The sequence below is a fragment of the Homo sapiens genome, chromosome 16 (assembly GCF_000001405.40).
Source record: "Homo sapiens chromosome 16, GRCh38.p14 Primary Assembly".
Lineage (NCBI taxonomy): Eukaryota > Metazoa > Chordata > Mammalia > Primates > Hominidae > Homo > Homo sapiens.
Window position 1 is genome coordinate 56,243,958 of NC_000016.10, and position 18,530 is coordinate 56,262,487.

Here is an 18,530-nt window from a genome sequence, read left to right on the forward strand (position 1 = left end):
TGCCCAGGGCACTATTAATATCTCCTTCTAGTGCATAAGGAAAATGAGGCACAGAGTTTAGAGTTTGTGTTCTGTCTGTGGTCACACAGCTGGTACAGCGGAGGCAGAATCACAGTGTGATCCCAGACCCCACTCTTGGCCACTCGCCATGCTATACTACAGGCAAAGCAAAGGGTTCCTGCCCATGGGGAGCTGTAATCTACTTGAGTGTAGGCACGTAAATGGGAAAGAGGTTGAGAAACTGTCAGGATGACCACCTACTAATTCGCTCTGAGACTTCAGTTAAGGCACAGAATTCCTGGGCCTCAGTTTCTTCCTCTTTTAAACCAAGTCTTAGGCTGGATAAAAGAGGGCCCCATCCTGGGGTTCATGAAAGTAGTAATGCTGGTCTATGGATAACACTTAGCATAAAAAAAAAAAAAACCTAACATTATATTTGCATTCAGGCCTGGAGACCATAGAGCATCTTTGCTCTTGGCTGAAATTACGTCCCACCAGGGTAGTAACCCTGGTTACCTCCAGCTGATGAGAAGCTTCGATTAGCAGTCACGTATCTGACTCTGCTTGACAAGAATAAGAAACTGGATCCCTCATTGCTTGTTCTGGGACCACTTGCTGGGGAAGGCCACCCTCAGGTCTAGGGGCTTCCGCTGCGATTCTCTAAGGTCATTTGACCCCCTGGGACTTGCCCTCCCTTGGACTCCCTGGCTTTCCTCTAGTCTCTAGGGTCCCAGCTATTTTTTCCACCACACCCAGGGTTCCCTGTGGCAGGCCCAAGCTAAGGTGGATGTGCAGAGTGTGGGCTGGCCAGTATAGCCAAGCTGGGCAAATGCACGTGCTGTCAGGAGCATGGACAGAGCTCCCGGTGCTCAGAGTCCACCACCGCTTCTGCTCTTCCTACAGGCAGAAGGCAAAGGCCTGTTTCCCACTGAATAGCACCTTCTCCAGTCATGCCTGGGGAGCTCTGAAAATAAACCAGATTGGGAATAGTCAGGATGTGGGCTACTGATGGCCCCTCGGGTCTATCCAGTGCATTTTCTCTGGCACTAATTTTCAAAGAAAGTTTCACTAAAACATTTTCCACTGGGCAAAATCATGCCTTTAGAATCAGCCTACACTAGAGTCTTAGGATAGCTGAGCCAGGAGAAAGCACTAGACAACATTTATTTATTTTATAGATAAAAAAAAAAACTCTGTTAAAGATGCTTCATCTACCCTTGTTGTTCCAGGGAGATGTGGCCTCTGCTAGGCTGTTGCGGCTGAGCTGATGATCAGGGCAATTTATCCATTCTTAGAAATCTGGTGAGCCCTGCTTCGGCTCTGTGCAACTGCTAAATTCAGTTTGTATGGATTTGGCTTGGAATCACGGCCCTGACGTTCCATTTGATTCAGCTTGGCTGGGGTAACGCTCAGGTCTTTTGTAGAAGAGTTCACAACACTGGCCAGTTAAAGGGTGGTGTGCCCTCAGGCAGTCAGAAAATCTTGTCCACTGACTCATTCATTAACCCACAAACAGAACAGGCATTGCCCTAAGTATTTGGGGGTATGAAAGAAGCTGATGTGGATGTGTTCCTGTCCCAGAAGGAGCTGATGGTTGTATCTATGAAGGTAAGCATTTTTGTAGATACGAGCACCAGCCACCCTAAGCAAAGGCAGAGAATGCTTAGGCCAGACAGAGGGCTAGGGCACTTGAATAGAAAGAGAGCAATTCTTGGGTACAAGAAGCCCAAGGGAAGTTTTCTGGAAGAGGTGGCATTTGAGCTGGCCCCTATAGAATCAATAAGATTGGGAAACTGATATGGTGTACTTTCTCTGTCAAAACATGGCCCATGGAGAACAAAAAACATAGCAATTGAGACACAGTACCAAGTCTGGAGGGTAGACTTATAAAAATTGTGAAAAGTGTTGGGAAAGGAAAATGCAGGCCTTTTAGGAGAGACTAATGGGAGGTTTATAATTCAGATTGGGTGTGTAGGGGGGTAAGGGGCACCAGGATTCAAACTCGGATCTTAATGTTTCCAGAGCCCACACCCATAATTACTGCCCTGCTTCCTCCCAGCTGAGATCTCTGCAGGGCCCCTGGGTGAATCAGAGACAGAAGTCAGGCCTCCCAACTCCCTGGGTCAGCCCTCTTTCCTCACAGCCTACCTGCTGCCTGAGCTGCTGCCTCAGGGCACATGCCTGTCTGCCTGGCTGATGTTTCCCATCAGTGGCTGACTCCACACTGTGCTCTTGGAGGTGAGGTCAGGGACAGCCCAAGCACCCAGACTGCTTAGGGCAGACATGCAAGGCTCAGGCCCTCCTGAAGCAGTCGTTAACCTTTCTTCAAAGGTCATGTTGTGGAAAACCCCTACTTCAGCCTCCCAGCTGTAATCACAAAGGGCATCAGTGAGAAAGCCTTTTCCTGGGAATGTCTGTTCTTGGTAACATGCCCAGGTCACAATCTGGAACATCAGAGTCCCGTTCACAGAAACACGGATCCTGTTGCAGGCACTCTGGCCCCACCATCGCCCAGTCCTGGAGGGTACTTCTGGATACTGGACGATCAAGTTCAGTGTCTCCTGGCTAAAGGCAGCTCACGTAAACTTCGCAGCTGCAGCCTGAGAGGCACGAGGACCCAGTGTGTCCACGAACCAGAGGTCTTTGTCCTCTGCCTAGGGTTTCCCATAAGGAAAAGCTCACACGGCACCGCTGTCCCCACAGCGCCCTGCTGTGGAGCTTGTTCTCTGTGTGTCCATGTTCCCCGTCATGTGCCCTCCCACTCCAGTGATCATTGCTAGTCTGCTGCTGTCACTTCCCTCCTCCTGTCCCTCTTCCTCTCTGACAACCCTTTCCCAGAATGCCTCTCCTCTCCCCTCCCTGGGTGTCATTCTCTTCAAAAAGGTTTTTTAAAGAGCGAATGTTTAATTTGTGTTTGTTGACTAAATGAATTAATCAAGTAGGGCTCTTCATTATGTAATGCCTTGTACATGCAAAAGATTATATGACATCAATAGAAGGTATTAAGAATAAATAAAATGCCCACTTTACCAAGTTAAGGCCCCTATCTATGTGGCCCTCTGCCAGAGTAACAGCTTCCTTAAGTGGCCCTTTTTTCCTCTTCTCCCCGCAGTCTAATCCACTGTCCACCTGACTGCTGGGGCCATCTTTGCCCGCCTCAGCTCCCCTCCGTTGCTGTCACCAGCTACCCAGGTCAGCATGGCCCGTCAGCAGAGCACATGGGCTGGCGCCGGCCATCCAGGCAGAACAGAACTGCGCTAGCCTGTGCCCTGTACCCTGCTGTCTCCCTGTCTTGGGGTGCACAGTTTCCTTTACCTGGAATAACCCCACCCACATGTCCCATGTCTCTGCCTGTCACACCCACCTTTCCTTCTAGGCCGCAAAATGTCATGGTTTTCCCAAAGCTGTACCCAATTTCTCCACTCAGCTGTACTTCCTCCTTCTCTGAGCCCCTTTAAAACATAGGTGGTTTTGCTTTTCTCTTGCAGTGTATCTGACATTTTGCTACCTTTTATTAGGGTGAGGTTTTTTTTTTTTTTTTTTTTTCATTTCTAATCTCACATACTGGATTATAAGTGTCTTGTGGACAGCCACATGTCTTTGAATTTGTAGGGCCTAGTAGAGCATCTTGTGCATACATAATAGGTCCTCAACAAATAATTGGATTAGAATGGATTGAACAGTCCTCCCCTAAAGCTCACCTCACATCTCCTTCCCTGAAATCCTATAAAAATAAGCACTTGTCTCCCGAGGGAGAAGGGCTTCTTGGAGCAGGAATGTGGTTGATGCTTAATAAATAATAGCTGGATGAACAAATATTTGCAAACATCCTGCCTAAGATAGAGGATTGGACTCAGTGCTTCCTGGGGCAGAAAGTTGTTTAACCTCTATCACTTCTTGATAAATAATCCCTACATTAGGATATTTGGAATTGCCAACTAGGTATCATGTAAAGGCAAAACAATTATGATACTGAATGTGCATTCTCACACACATTGGTTGAGGATTACAGCTCTCAGAAGGTTGTTCATAAAGGCATGATGTCTCTCTGTAGGTCTCTTTGGGGACAGGGGATTTTGAGGGAGATTCTGTTGGCCCAGTCTCAACTGTTAGTGCCTTTAAGAAAACCCAAACTGATTTTCTTTAGACAACACTAAGAAAAGCATGCACAATTCTTTGAAACAATTTTTAACAGTAAAACATATTTATACCTTTTAATTGTGCTGTCTTAACATTTAGAGAAATTAATATGCAAAAACTTTCACCACTCTTAACTCTCGTTTCTGTTTTCCAGTGCTACCTTCCAGTCTTTGTCCATGTGTATGAAAGAAGCTTTCATTTCTGCCAGAAATGAAATCAAACTTCTGATGTTTTCCTGTTATAAACATCAAATCTAACAGGCAAACTTTGTGAACACCTACTGTGTCCAAAGCCATGTACTGAGAATGGCGGGAGATACAAAAAGAGTTTGTTCACTACACAAGTATATACTAAATGCTTGCCCTGTGCCTAGAGCTGTTCTGGTCCATGATAACAGCTGTGGGTGAGACAGGTCCTCAGCTTCCAGGATGGAAAGAGAGGCACCACACAGAAAAATAATATGTCAGGGGCAGATAGGCTATGAAGAAAAATAAACAGGGAGGGACTTAGAGGGGGCCATTGTTTTATGAGAGTGGTCAGGGACATTCTCTCCAAGATAACATTTAAGCAGCCTCTGAAGGAAGTGTGGAGGTGAGGGAAGAGTGTTCTAGGCAGAAGAAACAGCAAGTGCAAAGGCCCTGAGGTGGGAGTGGTTTTTAAGAAACAGAAGCCTCTATGGCGGGAGGGATAGGTTGGGGAAATATGAAGTCAAGAGAGGGAGCCAGAGGACTGGGCTACTTTAGAGGCTGCAGAAGGACTTGGACTTTTATTCCAGGTGTGATGGGAGCCCATGGGAAGTGTTGATCTCACTGTGGAGAACAGCCCAGAGACAGGAATAGATGCAGGGAGATCATTAAGGGGCTGCTGAAGTTTCTCAGGAGAGAGGCTGTGGTGGCCTATATAAGGTGCTCTACTAGGCCGCACAAATTCAGAGACATGGGGCTGTCCACAAGAAACTACGGTGGTAGTGATTTAGGGAGGTAGCAGAGCAATCAGGTCCTGGATGTGTTTTGAAAGTAAAGCCAACAGATTTCCTTTCATATTGAATGTAGGTGTGAGAGAAAGAGAGGAGTCAAGGTTGAATCCAAGGTTTTTGGCCTGAGTAACTGATAAAATGGAGGTGATGGTCTCTGAGATACATGGAATGGGGGGGAACAAGTTTGGGCAGTGAAGTCAGGAGTTTTGTTTGGATTCTCGAAGCTGCATATGGCTCCTCCGAAGTTCATGGCAGGTGCTGCTACGACACCGTTTCCTTCAGAGCCCCAGCATGGCCTCACCATCTCAACACAGTGCTGCAGAACCCAATCTAGAATGAAAACCATCGCACTTTCCTGGCATTGACAGACAATCCAGGCATATCCACTGGGGAGGGGAGAGGAGTGCTGGGGAGGAGGCTGTTCTGTGGACAACTGGCATGATCAGGGAAAGCACCAAGGGGGAGAGGAGCTGGAACAGAGCTTTTGTGTCAAGGAGCCACTGGCTGCAAGTAACAGAAAACCCAATTCAGAAGGGCTTAAACCATACCGGAAATTATGAACACATATATCAAGAAGTCTGGAAATTAAGCAGGCCCACGGTTGCCCAATGAAGCTATCAGGGACCCAAGTCTTTTCTCTCTATTCATTGTGCCTGCCTCAGCACACCAGCTGGCTCCTCCCTGCAGCAGCTCCAGGCATTATGGTTTCACCACCTAAATCAAGGGAAATGACAGGGTCGAGCCTCTCCCTATTTTAGAAGCCCTGCTGGGAGACTGGCCCTTACGCTGGACAGATTTAGCCCTCATTGCACAGATTTGGGTCCCATGTCTCTTCTTAAACCAATCACTGGTTAGGGCAGTGGGTTTACATGATGTGCTTCTGCCAATCAAGAGGAGATAGGGACACCAGGACACAGCTCAGACTTGGCCAACAGGGAAGAGAGAGAACAATGGTGGATGGCTTGGCCACCAACAGTGTCTGCTCCAGCCCCAAACCATCAGGAAGAATTGGTACTGAGAAGTAAGAAGGGAGGGCGTTCTAGGTGGGGAGAAAAGCATGAGCAGAGGCACAGAAGCATGAAGATACAAGGTATGTCCCTCAGACAAGTTGGCGGGGTTGATGAGTTGTATACAGTGTGGCATGGAATGAAGGCCAGAAAGAAACCGTAATTGCTAACCTTATTTGGGGATCTTCTTGGCTTACCAGGGGTCTTCAGACCAGTACTTAAAAACCACAGATCTAGAAGGCCAACCATCTCAAGGAAGGAATTCTTGAAGAACTGTAAGCCTTGGCCAATTAGACTAGATAAAGCCACTGTTAATATTCCTCTGAGCACTTCCACTTTGGGGGAAGATGGAATGTCCTCAGCTTAGTCCCTGTGCTGATGCCAGGTTTAGTTGGGTGGCTCTTGGGTAGAAAAAAGAGCATGCAAGACAGAGCTTTCCTTTGGAAAACATAGCCAGAAGCTGATCCTGAGTATCAGTCATCCTGCTTTCATTGAGATTGCGTATCAAACCCTTTCAGGTACAAATGGCAGAAATCCTGCCCAATGACTTAAAAAATAAGCTTAGCCACCTCTCTCACTGAAAAGTCTGGCTCCTGGGGCTGTAAGGATGTTATCAGGACCTAGTGGCTCCTCTCTAGGCTCTGCTTTCCTCCATGTTAACTTCACTCTCAGGTGGATTCACCCCTCAGCCTCAGCTCCAAATCCCCATGCAAAGTGTTTCTTTACTGGATATCCCAGGAAGAGTCTTAATGCTTCTCACTGATTCTGATTGACTTATGTTCCATCCCTGAACCAACCATTGTGGTTTTGGGGAATGGAATATGTTGACTTAGTCCCCACCTTAATGACATTTGGCCAAGAGCTGGGGAGAAGTGGCTCTTCGAACACTTGATGTTGGCAAAGAGGTGAAAGAATGAATATAAGGTGGCCCCAAGCCACAAATGTCTAATCTATGATTTTACCCCCGAGTCTAAGATCTCACATTTTTCACTTCAGCATCAGTTTGTGTGTTTTACAGTCTACAACAGGCTATCATAGGCATCCCACTTAATCCTAATAACACCCCTATAAAGGAGGCTGGGTGGCAATTATCCTATTTATAGATGAGGAGACTGAGGGTTAGAGAAATTCAGTTATTTGTCCAGGACCATCTCGATCGAAATTGGCAAGTCTGGCCTTTGAACCTGGGACTTGTAACCCTCTTCCAGTGAAGTTGCCCATTACACTGATGACTTACAATGCATCTGCCTGCATATTCGAGGAGAGAAGTTCTTAAAACTTCTACAAGTGAAATCAAGTTCACTTCTGTAAGTGAAATCAAGTTGAAGAGTCAGCTCAAGGAGTGCAATATGTAAATGGTAAAATAAACAACATCATTAAGCTCAAGGGCATGTTTTAATAACAGTTAAATAACTTTTACAAAATAGCAAATATTTTCCCATTCTGCTGAAATGGGTCTTAGGAAAAAGGATTGTAATATAGAACCCCAGGTGGTCAAGTGCACATTGGATTTTCCTAACAGCCTCCTTTATAAAGAAGAGCTTGCCTGTGGCTTTGTTTCCTTACTCTCCAGCCTCACCTTCCTCCCCTTGCCTATGCTCAAACCATTGCCCACTAATAGTTCTGCAGATCCCAGGATAGAAGTTAATCTGCTTGGAAGGTTGGTCCACTTAGCTTTTCCCCACAGGTGTCATTTTGGTACCTGGTGAGAGGGTCTGCCTGTCTCCCTCTCACTCTGCACTCCAGCACCAGTCAGCGAGGCTGCCATCTTCCCTGATCAAGAGCTGGCTCCAGAGTGAACTGTAAAGCACCCCTGTTAGATTTCCTGGCATTTGTAAGGACCTTTTCTGGGGCCCAGACAGAACCAGAGGCCTCCAGCCAGAGGCACCAATCCTCTGAGGCCCTGGTGCATGGGCAACAAATGAGACTTTTTGCCTCCAGAAGGAGCTATAAGCAGAAATTATAGGAAGTATAATAAATCATCCTCCCGCCCTCAAAGTAGGGCCACACCAAGGAAGGTAGAGGGAATTCTGTATCAAATGAGCTGATCAGGCCAAAATGTGTGTTTACTTCTCATTGAGAACATATCTGCAGGTACATGGTAAACTACAAGTACTATACTGTGTTCCTCTTGGTTATTAGTCTCTGGATGGCACAGCCAATTGCAGTACAAGGTGGGATGGCCCCTGTGAACCCAAGTCTTCTGACTCCAAGTCCCCAAGGCTGGCCCCCTAGATGCCAGGCTGCTGGACAGGACCCTCAGACAAGGCTAGGGAAAGCAGTAAGTGCTGTGCTTCCTGGGCCAGCCTCAGCAGGGCACTGGGTTGCAAGGAGAGCAGTTCAGATGAGGTGGGCACTCTAGTGCCTTGCTCAGAGCACAAGCTTCCAAGTAACACAGAAGCTCAGTTCTGCCACTCACCACCTGAGTGACCTTGAGCAAGCGAGTTGATCTCTCTTGGCCTGCATTTCCTCCTCTGAGGAATCTTCTAATAGTACCTTTCTTGGAGAGTCGTGAGGATGAAATGGGGAGGTGCACACAAACCACCCAGCACGACGTCTGGCACAGGGTATTTGCTTGATACTTTCGCATAGTGAGGCTGACATAGGAAGAACTTCTCATCACAGCTCATCCACACCCCCACATCAGGAATGCTCAAGTAGACCCTTCTCCCCTCCCAACCTTCCTCCTGGCCCCGGCCCCATCCAGCTGTTCCTTCTTGTGGGCAGTGGGGTGGGCCCTGTCTTCAGTGCAGACATGCCCTGTTGCCCTTGAGTGCATTGGCCTGTCCCCCCCACCAACCCCAACAGCTCACAGGGCCTCTTGGTATGGGAAGTGCAAGTCACCCTGAGGAGGTGCCGTCCATGCTGGAGCCAGATTCTGAGGCTGCAATGGAACTTTGGGCTGATGCACTCACATTGCTTGCCTTCTGCCAAGAGTTCTGCTGGGGAGCTGCCCTCGGCTAACCTCTGAGTGTCTGACTAGATAGCAGCAGCGGCAGCAGCAGCCATCTCTGGAGCCAAGCATTTGAGCAGAGAACAGCTGCTCCTGGTCCTGGGCCCCCTCTTGCCTGGCCCAGGTTCCAGTCAGCTCTGCCTAAAAGACTCCCCAGGGCAGCCTGGCTCTGGTGCCAGGACCCTTCACCCTCCTCGTTCCTCCATCTCACCCGCAACAGTGTGTGACTGATCGACTCCTCCTGCCACTTTGTCTTATCACGAAGATTAGCAGGGAGGAAGCTGGGATGTGGAGTCAGAAGACCTGGGTTGGAGCCCCAGCCCGGCTACTTGCTGGCCTGTGACCTTGAGCAGGTCCCATCCTTTCCACACTTCTGGAAGATGGGAGAAGAGAATCTTTATTCTTTCTTCTTAATTGGGCAAGTGTGATTAATTGTAATGCAATGCAGAGTTGCCTGATGAGAAGCTTTTAAAGCAAGCCAGAGGTGTGTTTGAGTGAAAGATGAAAATATTCTTTACAGCCCTGTGGGGCGGGTGTTGGTCACTCTTCATCTGTTTGGTGTTGGTAGGTGAAAGCAGGCCAGCTCACTGGGCCACTCTTCAGCCTCCATGCTGAGCCCTGTTACCTACTGGGTCCCTCTCAAGTTCAGTCCCTGTGGGAGGTATGCACAGACATGTGTAGCCAGGATTTGACCCGATGGGCCATGCACTTTGCCATCACATGGAAGCAGAGTGGGGGACATGTGGCAGCTTGTGGGATGAAGGGGCCAGACCTGGGCCCTGCCTTCTCCCCAGCCTGGGGTAGCAGGGAGATGCCAACTCTTCCTGGGATTGAGCTTCTACTTAAAAAACAAACAAAAAAAAGTGTTGAAATTCTAATTAAAAGTTGTATTAAGTTCCAGTGTACACGGGGCATTTTTTATAATGTTAAATGTTCCCATTTAAGAACATATGCCTTTTCTTCAAATCTGGTTTTATGCCCTTCCATAAAATTTTTTTTTATTAAACATACATTGTTTGTTTGGGGAAGATAAAATTTTGTTTAATTAAAAAAATAAACATATCTTGTGAAATTTATTAAGTTTATATCTGTGATCAAGTTTTGTAAGTGATTCAGGTCCCAACAAATGATCTATTCCAGATTCAAGGAATGCAGGGCCCTATATATTTCTAGTAATTCAAATTATATTTTTTATTTTCTCTGTTATCTTAATTTTTGCCTATATGTCTATTTTTGAAATAGACATCTTTGAAATTTCACACTAAAATTTTATTTATTCCATTTCTAATAATGGATGCTTCATATATTTAGCTTCTGTGTTTAATGCATTAAAGTTTCTGATGGTCATTAATGTCTTCATAAAATAAGTGTTCCTTTTATCATCACAAACATCTGTATCCTCTGCAGCATTTTTTTAAACTAAAATTCTCCCTTATCTAATTAATTTTGACACTTCTCCCTCCTTTTGTTTGCACTTGCCTAGTATCTGCTTGCCTATGCATTTATTTTCAACATTTCTGTATACCTTTATTTTAATCAGTTTTCTTATAAACAGCATGCACCTGGAGCTTGGTTTTTGTTTTAATTTCTTAACCCAATCTGGCATCTTCTGTTTTTAATGAGTAATCTAATCTGTTGACTGATGTACTGGATTTTATTTCTTCCATCTACAGTATGTTTATAATTTCTTTCTGTCGTATTTTGTTTCCCTTGCTTGTGCTGGTTTAATGTAGTTGCTTCAAATTTCATCTTTTCCCCATATTCTCTATGTTCCCATAGAGAACACAGGGAAAGTTCTCTACTTTTCCCTTTCATTAAAGGTTACATTCTTTTTCCCTTAATTCATAATTAAACACATATTGCTTTAATGTTATTTGAACACAAGATAACATGAAATAACTGTTCCTCCCTCCAAGATGTTCCATTCTCTCCCTGCTCTTCCCTGCTTCAGTGGGATGAGACGTTAAAATTGTTTCCCTGTCCCTACTTAAGATGAGACCTTGGAACACTTTTCCTCCCATCCTCTTCAACTCCTTGATTCTGTTAGGAACATTTAATATTTTTAGCTTTGAGCTGTTGGTGGAATTTCCCTTGTAGTATGTCCCTTCTATTTTCAGAGTCCTTCTTTAGCAGTTCCATTCCCAGAACATCTACCATTCTCCATTTAGATTTAGGAGAAAAGGGAGGGGCAGGTGTGTGGCAATCTTCCTTACTCCTCACGGTTTCCTGACCAGTTCATTTTCCCCAGGTCAAGGAAAAATGTTCTGCCACATTTGTTGTTTGTTGCTTTAAGTATTTTCCATAGATGAGATGTATGGGTGATAAACTATGAATTCTTGTGTGTTTCCTCTAAAAAATGATGGGCAAACTATTTGAGGTCTTTGGTTATCTTTTCTGAGTAGTGTATACATGGTATTCTGCTCTCTTTTAGTTTGTAGTGTTTCAGATGAGAAGTTCAATGTCAGTCTTACTCTTTTTTCCTTATAGGCAATATGTTCTTTCTGTCTGGAAGCTTTTAAGATTTTGTGTTCATCTTGAAGTTTAGCAGTTGTACCAAGGTAACCTATGTGTATGTCTTTTCTTGTCGTCCTTCCTGGAACTGTGTGAGCCTTTTCAATCTGTAGAGTCAGTTCTTTTTTCAGTTCAGGGCAATTGTCTTCTGTTTGTTATTTAATTATTGGCTGTCCTCTCTCAGTTTGTTTTTCTACTTCTAGAACTCCCAATATTTTTAAGTTAGATCCCCCTGGATCTGTCCTCCATGTCTGTTATCTTTTCCCTTATAAATTATATATCTATATTTTTACTGTATATTTGGAGATAGGTTTTCCATTTTGTCTTCCAGACCACCAATTCACATCTCAACAGGGACTCACCTGCAATAGTTGGGAAGACATTGTTTTAATATGTGAGAAATCTTTTAAGTCTGCCCTGAGTTGCTGTAGGGCTCATGTGATGTTCTGCTTGAGTTTTCATTTGTCTCTTGGAGCAGCTGCACTTCACTGGGCTTGTGCACTGTTCGTTCTGACAGATCTTCTTCTGCCAGGACTTTGAAGCATGTTGTGAGTGTTCTTTGTTCTTTGTACCTCTGGTTATGGAGCCCAGAGTGGCAGCAGTCCACAGCTGGTGGGAGTGGAGCTGTCCTTACCCTTGGAGCCAGTGGTATTGAGGCAGGTGAGCCACCAGTCTACTCCTGAGACATCTGTCTCCCTTACTTCCCATTCCCCTTTGGCTACAGGGCAGGGGGTTGCAGCCCACTGGTTCAGCCACTTCTTGGTCTGACCTGGGTCAATCAGGCAAAGCCAGTTTCTACCTGCGCTCCATTACGTGCCAAATTCCACCCACATACACACACACACTAGGGATCCACTGGTCTTCCTTGGCCAAGTTCTTTCCGGCATCCATGGCTTTTGATCCTTGCTCCAAAGCTCTCTGAAGCTGGTCTCTAATAAGGGAGATCCCCACACCAGTTTTTCAGCCTTGTTTCCCGCATGTACCCCCATCTGCCCAAAGGCCTCAGCAGTTCTCTAATTTAGGATTGAACAGATAGGTTAGAGATGATAATCTCTTTCAGGTTGCCATGTTCTCAGGATCTGTTGTCTTTTCTCAGTTACTGATGGATCAACTGAGACTGGAGGTCAGTCTCTTTCTCTCTGTCTCTCTCTCTCTCTCTCTCTCTCTCTCTCTCTGTGTGTGTGTGTGTGTGTGTGTGTGTGTGTGTGTGTGTGTTTGTCTTTTTTTCTGGATAGGCTATCCCTATGGCTGCACTCAGGGGCCACTAACACTCCCCATTACTCTTTGTCTAGTTGAATCTGATTAGACACTGGACTAGCTTCCAGAATCATATACTCCAGAGTGCCTCAAATTACAGGACGGACACTGCCAGTGGCCCAAGATGAGTTGCAGTGGTGCAAGGACAGTGTTTGAGAATGTTGAATCCCGTGGTGGGAAAGTTGTTTGTTCAGTTCTCTTTTAGTTCTTCTAATTATGGCAAATAGTCTCGCGTTTGGCATTACTATGCCTTTGACACATCTCTAGCACTCATTAAATTCCCTTTTAATAAAACAGAGATCAAATGTCATGCCCAGTCTTCAGTAGGCAACAGTATTTTCTGTGGTGGGGAAGGCTGAAAGGGGACTGGGTTTGGGGGGGGGAAATTAGAAGTTCAGTTAGGAGCCCATTTATTCTGCCCTGCCTAGTACATATTTAAGTGGAGATGTTGAGTCGGCAATCCATGGTCTTAGCCCTGGGGCACTCCAGTGTTTAGATATTGGATTCCTTCCCCTTTGCCAACCAATGCAGAAGGTGCCTTTCCTACTTGTTGGCTGAATGTCTTTGCATCGGCTAGCTCAGGAGGTTTGTTTCCCATCACTCTGGGCCACTTCTTGGCAGCCAAGGCCACGTGATTGTCATTAGTGTTCCGTGTGTCTGACCAAGCAGCCCTTAAGTGCAAACATGGACCGTGGCCAACCTTCCAGCTGTGTAGAGCCTTCTGGCTGTGCATCTTGTTGGGTCCTTGGGGGGGTGTGGTATCCCCCAGTGAGGCTTCATAAAAAGGTGGAAGCAAGCTGAACCGTTTTCACAAGTTTGAACATGGTTCACACTAATGATTCACTGGACCTGTCAAATTTCTGACTACAGCCCGTATTTATTAGGATGAAAAAAAAATCTTCCATTAGTTTAGCACTTTTCCTTCTTACCAACATGCAGGAAACATTTATTCTACCTGAAACGTGAGGCTGATGCCATTAACTGACTCTGTGAAGGAGTCCTAATGCCAACAGGGCCAGCAGGCTGGTAGACTGAGGGCTGTGGGCGTAGACTGACACCTGATGGGGCGTGTGGATCACGAGAGCACCAGCCTAGCCCACGGCAGGCAGCCAAACTCAGGCCTCACCTAAGGAGGCAGACCAGCATGTCCGATTCTTCAGGAGAACCAGAAATCAGTGTCCTTTTGTGACAATTCTTCTGATTTATAAATGTTTGCTTAAAGGAAAAAAATAAAAAGAAAAGAAAAACTCAAAACTACTGCAGGCCAAACAAAATACATCTCCCTGGCCCAAATCCAGGCTGCAGATGGCCAGTTTGAGACCTCTGCTACGTGACTGCAGGCCAGCCAATCACTCTGATTCTTATACTTCCCACCATTACTGTGAAACAGAGCCACTACCAGGCTTGCTGAGGTGGAGATTATGAGTGGGGTTCTGTTTTAGCTCCCAGCTCTGCTGCTTACTGGCTCTGAGATGGTGGCCAAGTAGTCAGTTAACCTCCCTAAGCCTCAGTCTCCTTATTTGTAAAATGAGGATAACTGGGTTATTCATTCCTATCATGAGGACTTCATGAGAAAATATATAAAAATGTCCAGCACAAAGTTGGTGTTTTGTCAAGAGGAACTGTTGTTACTGTTCAGTAACACGTGAAATGTTTGGAAAACCTGAAAGGGAGTGTTGGGCATTTGACAGTTATGGGTAGTGGCACACCACCCAGAGCAGAAAACCCCTTGCCCATGGTTCTGTCATAGTGAGGGGCAACAGGGCCTGATGATGGTGGATATATTCCTAGAGTCCTGGAACTTGCCATTCAGGAAGAGCCCTGTTCCCCAGCAGCTTCCCTGTGGGGTGGTGTCAGAAGCAGGCCTAGCTGTTCTCCCACAAATCGGTCTGGACAGACTTGCAGCCTCTGGGCAGCCCCTGCCTGTTACAGAGCGCTTCCCAAGATTGAAAGGTGCTGAGAAGGCAGGGGAGAGTTTCCTGCAGCTCCTCTGGGAGAGACAGGGGATTGGGGCAGGCAATAGCTCTTGGGTGGGAGTAGGCAGGAGAACTTTCAGTCTGAAGTTAGACAGGGAAGCCCTGTGCATTTCTGACCTCAAGAGCCCCATTGTTATTGCTTCTCATTTTGACACAGATGTCCCAGTCAAGGCCACTCCTGTGCACAGCCCTTTGTTCTTTATGGAAAGTGCTGCCAGGCACACATACGCGTGGCTTTAGATGGCGTATACATTCTTACATGACCAGCTGAAGAGCCTTAGGGACATTTTGTGATCAGTGGGCGTCAGCAAGTCCATGTTGGAGCTGGGGACATGCAGGAGCCAGTGCAGGAAGAAAGCCTTGTTTCAGAGGGTGTGGATAGCACCACTTTAGGAAGCCCCTCAGGAATGAGAGCAACACACTTGAAATAGGACCAAATGCATCTTCAGCCTCACATGCTGTGTGAATGCCGCCTCCTTGTCAGGGAACGTGATCTGCACCAGTCAAAGAGGCAAATGCCAGGCCTTGCACTCAGGAGGTGTTGGGTAAATGTTTACTGAACTGAATTCCATTCTTGGGAGCCCTATTTGTGCCACATCTAATGCTGGAAATTATGTGTATTCTACCCCTTCTCACCATCCTTCCTGGTTTCCAACTGCCCTGTTCCATACCAGCCTGACCCACATGCATGTTGGAGCTTGAAGCTCAGTGGATACAGAAGTGTCTTGGGACAGTTGTCTCAGCATTGCTGGCCGTGGTGATAATAAGCAGATGTGACTGTGATGGTGATCCCGACAGTGTCAGAGCTCTCCCTAGACAGTCTTCATCCATGCATCCATTGTTCATTCCTTCAGTAGCCATGCGTCTGGCACTGGCCAGGGCTGAGCAGACAGTGCTGGGAGTGGTCTGCAGAAGGGGCAGGGCGGGGGTTCATGTGGTAAGGATTAAGCTAGAAAACTGGAAAGGCCTTTAAAGAGGGGTAAGAGTTTATGACTCAGGGCCAGTGTGACAACAGAAATCTTCTGATTGTTGGGACCCCTTCTTAATGTGGACATTGTTTAATGCCTTTACCCTTTTTCACAGTTGGTCAGAAGTCTTGACTCTCACCAGCCTGGTCTGCTTCCTCTGAATGTGCCTGAAGTCATCAGTATTCCTTGGATATTTAGTCTGAGGGCTGTCCATAAAGTGGAGAGCTCTTGAGAACACCCATGTTTGATAGCCACATAACCTTGGGAAAGCTCATTAACTTTCTTATTAACCAGTTTCTTCATCTTCAAAGTGGAGCTAGCACTAACACTTGCATAGCTTTGACTACAGCTGATGTCAGGAGGCAGGGGTTATTGGGAGGATTCAGTGTGGCAGTGTCCATGAAGCCCTTAGCACAGTGCCTGCACCTGAAGGGATTCAACAGAGGCTGCCGCTACTCTGTTCTCCCAGGCCCAGCTCTCGCTACTGTGGCGTGGCTAAGTGACAATGGGCAGTGTGGGCTGTGGGCCTTTTTTCTTTTTGTCTCTACCTGAAATCCAGATGAGAGTCTGAGAGAGTGGACAGAGTCTCAGGATGGCAGCTTGAGGGGCCTGTTCTCCTTAGCCTGCTTGTCTTCAACGTGCACCAATTTTAGGCTTGATTCACACTGAAAATTCCTCAGCTGCCGGCTGCTGGGCCAGAAGCAGGCCTTTGTCTCAGAGAGACCCAGAGACCATGATGAAGGCTGAGCATACCTGCCCTCCTGCTGGCCTCTCAGACTGCAGCAGAGCCTCTACTGAGCCCGACTCTGAGAGGGAACAGCTGGGCTCTCCACAGGGTCTGCCACCCCTACAGCCAAGTATGTGCTTTGGCTTTGGCATCCAGAACACACTGCCCCACCCAAACATCCCTAGAGAGGGGATCGATGTGGAAGCCCACAAAGTGATCTTTGTGGACTCTTTTTTTGGGGGCATGACCCGCTATCATGGTTATTAATGAGGAACTTCCATATGCTTGAGAAGGCCTGGAGTGGGAAGCCTGGGAGCCGCGGCGGGGCTATTTAAATCCACCACACAGAGAGTGGCATCCTTTCTGGGCCACGTCTACCACCAGAAAAGGAAGACTGGCTGGGCTGGGTTTTGCTGTGTCTCTCTGTGAATGTATTTCTCTGGCAAGACATGCTGTCACCTGGAATTCTCCCCTACTCTTGTTCAAAGGCCCAACAAAGGGGTGGCGCAGAGGGAACCAGAAGGATGTGGCTCACGTCCATGTAGTCAGAGATGTTTGGGGACCTGACCCAATGCAGACATAGCCATCTTTGTCCAGCAAAAGTTGGCGTGGCAACTGACCACTGCCGTTTCATTTGAGGAGACATGAGTTACCCTGGAGAGGAATGTGCATTCAGACTTGCTTTTGGCAGACTTTACCATAAGCAGTCCTCTCAGAGGACATGAGAAATCATGATTTCCCTGAGGAGCCCCCATTTGGGGTGATCTGTACCTTTTGCCTTGAACTCTCCTAGGCAGGGAGCTGAGAAGGGCGTCTTTTGTCTGTTTCAGAACACTCACCTAAAATGGTCCACCATCTGGGGCAACGCTTAGGAGGCTCTGTGGCAAATCTCAAAGGCACGTGTGCCAAGCAGCCTGCACTGGAGAATGAGGGATTCTGTCCATGCCCCTTTGTCTCTTCAGGTTGCTGGTGGTGTATTGGTGTCCTTCTCTGCCCAATCACATGGCAAGGAGAAGAAAAACAAGTCTTCATTTAAAAAGAACAGGAAGGGAAAAATCAAGAGCCTATGAAAAGCATTTTCCAGGCTGGCTAGGTCTGTAATGTAGAAGAGACACAAGGGAGTGAAATTCCTCATGTTTTGGGGTTAGGTGGAGTCGGGGGAGGAGTGGACAGTCCTTTGGGATCAGCTGATCCCCGAAATGCCCAAAAGAGAAAATGACCTCCAGTATGGCTTGCTTGGCTCAGCCGCTGCAAAATGGGATGGGGGCAGCTGCTGTCCTATGGTGGTGTAACCCTCAGAGCCCTCAGAACCTGTTCAGTAACCAGGCACCCCCTTTCAGATCAGCAAGTCTGTGTGACCGTCCGATGCCCTGCTGCCATCTTTCCAAACAAACGTCCAAGGGCTATGCAGCTTCAATGCCGTCAAGACTCCTGACTGCTAAGAACAGAAACCTGCCCTAGAGTGACTGAAACGTGTTGTCTCATGTCACTGACTAGCCTAGGGGTACACTAGCTTCAGGCATGGCTGGATCCACATGTGTGTGATACTAACTGACAGGTGTGGATCAGGAACTCACTCAGCCCTGGGACTTAGGCTAGAAGTGGGGAGAATCCTCAAAGTGTGAGAAAGGATGGTTCCCCCAAGGAAAGTTGAGCTCCTATCTCTCAAGGAAGGGAGGAGTTGCACAGGCAGCCAGCAGATGTCCACTACAGCCCTCATTTGCCATTTGCAGAGCTCAGGCTCCCTCAGGTATATTCTGCAGTGAGTCACCACCGCGCCCCACAGCAAGTCGCAAGGGAGCCAGGAGGAACCCAGATAGGAGCCCTCCCACAGGCTGTCAGAGCCCCACCTGGTCTGTTTGGATGACAGAGCCTTTTGGACTTGCCTGGTGTCAGAAAGGACAATGTCTTAGGTAACCTGGGTTTGTAAAAGCCTTGTCTGTGAGCTGTCAGCCAAAGACAGCAGCTTTTGTGGTCTTTTCTCTTTCCTGTGGTTCATGAGAACACATCTAGGC

At 47.0% G+C, this 18,530-nt stretch overlaps 1 protein-coding gene and 1 non-coding gene across 5 annotated transcripts in view; both read left to right on the forward strand.

The window, feature by feature from the left end:
- GNAO1 (G protein subunit alpha o1) overlaps nucleotides 1-18,530 on the forward strand; it is a 165,956-nt gene that overhangs the window by 52,469 nt on the left and 94,957 nt on the right. The gene's annotated exons all lie outside the window — the stretch shown is intronic.
- On the forward strand, nucleotides 1,563-1,666 carry MIR3935 (microRNA 3935). The gene has a single exon (NR_037499.1). It is a non-coding gene; the product is annotated as a microRNA 3935 (primary transcript).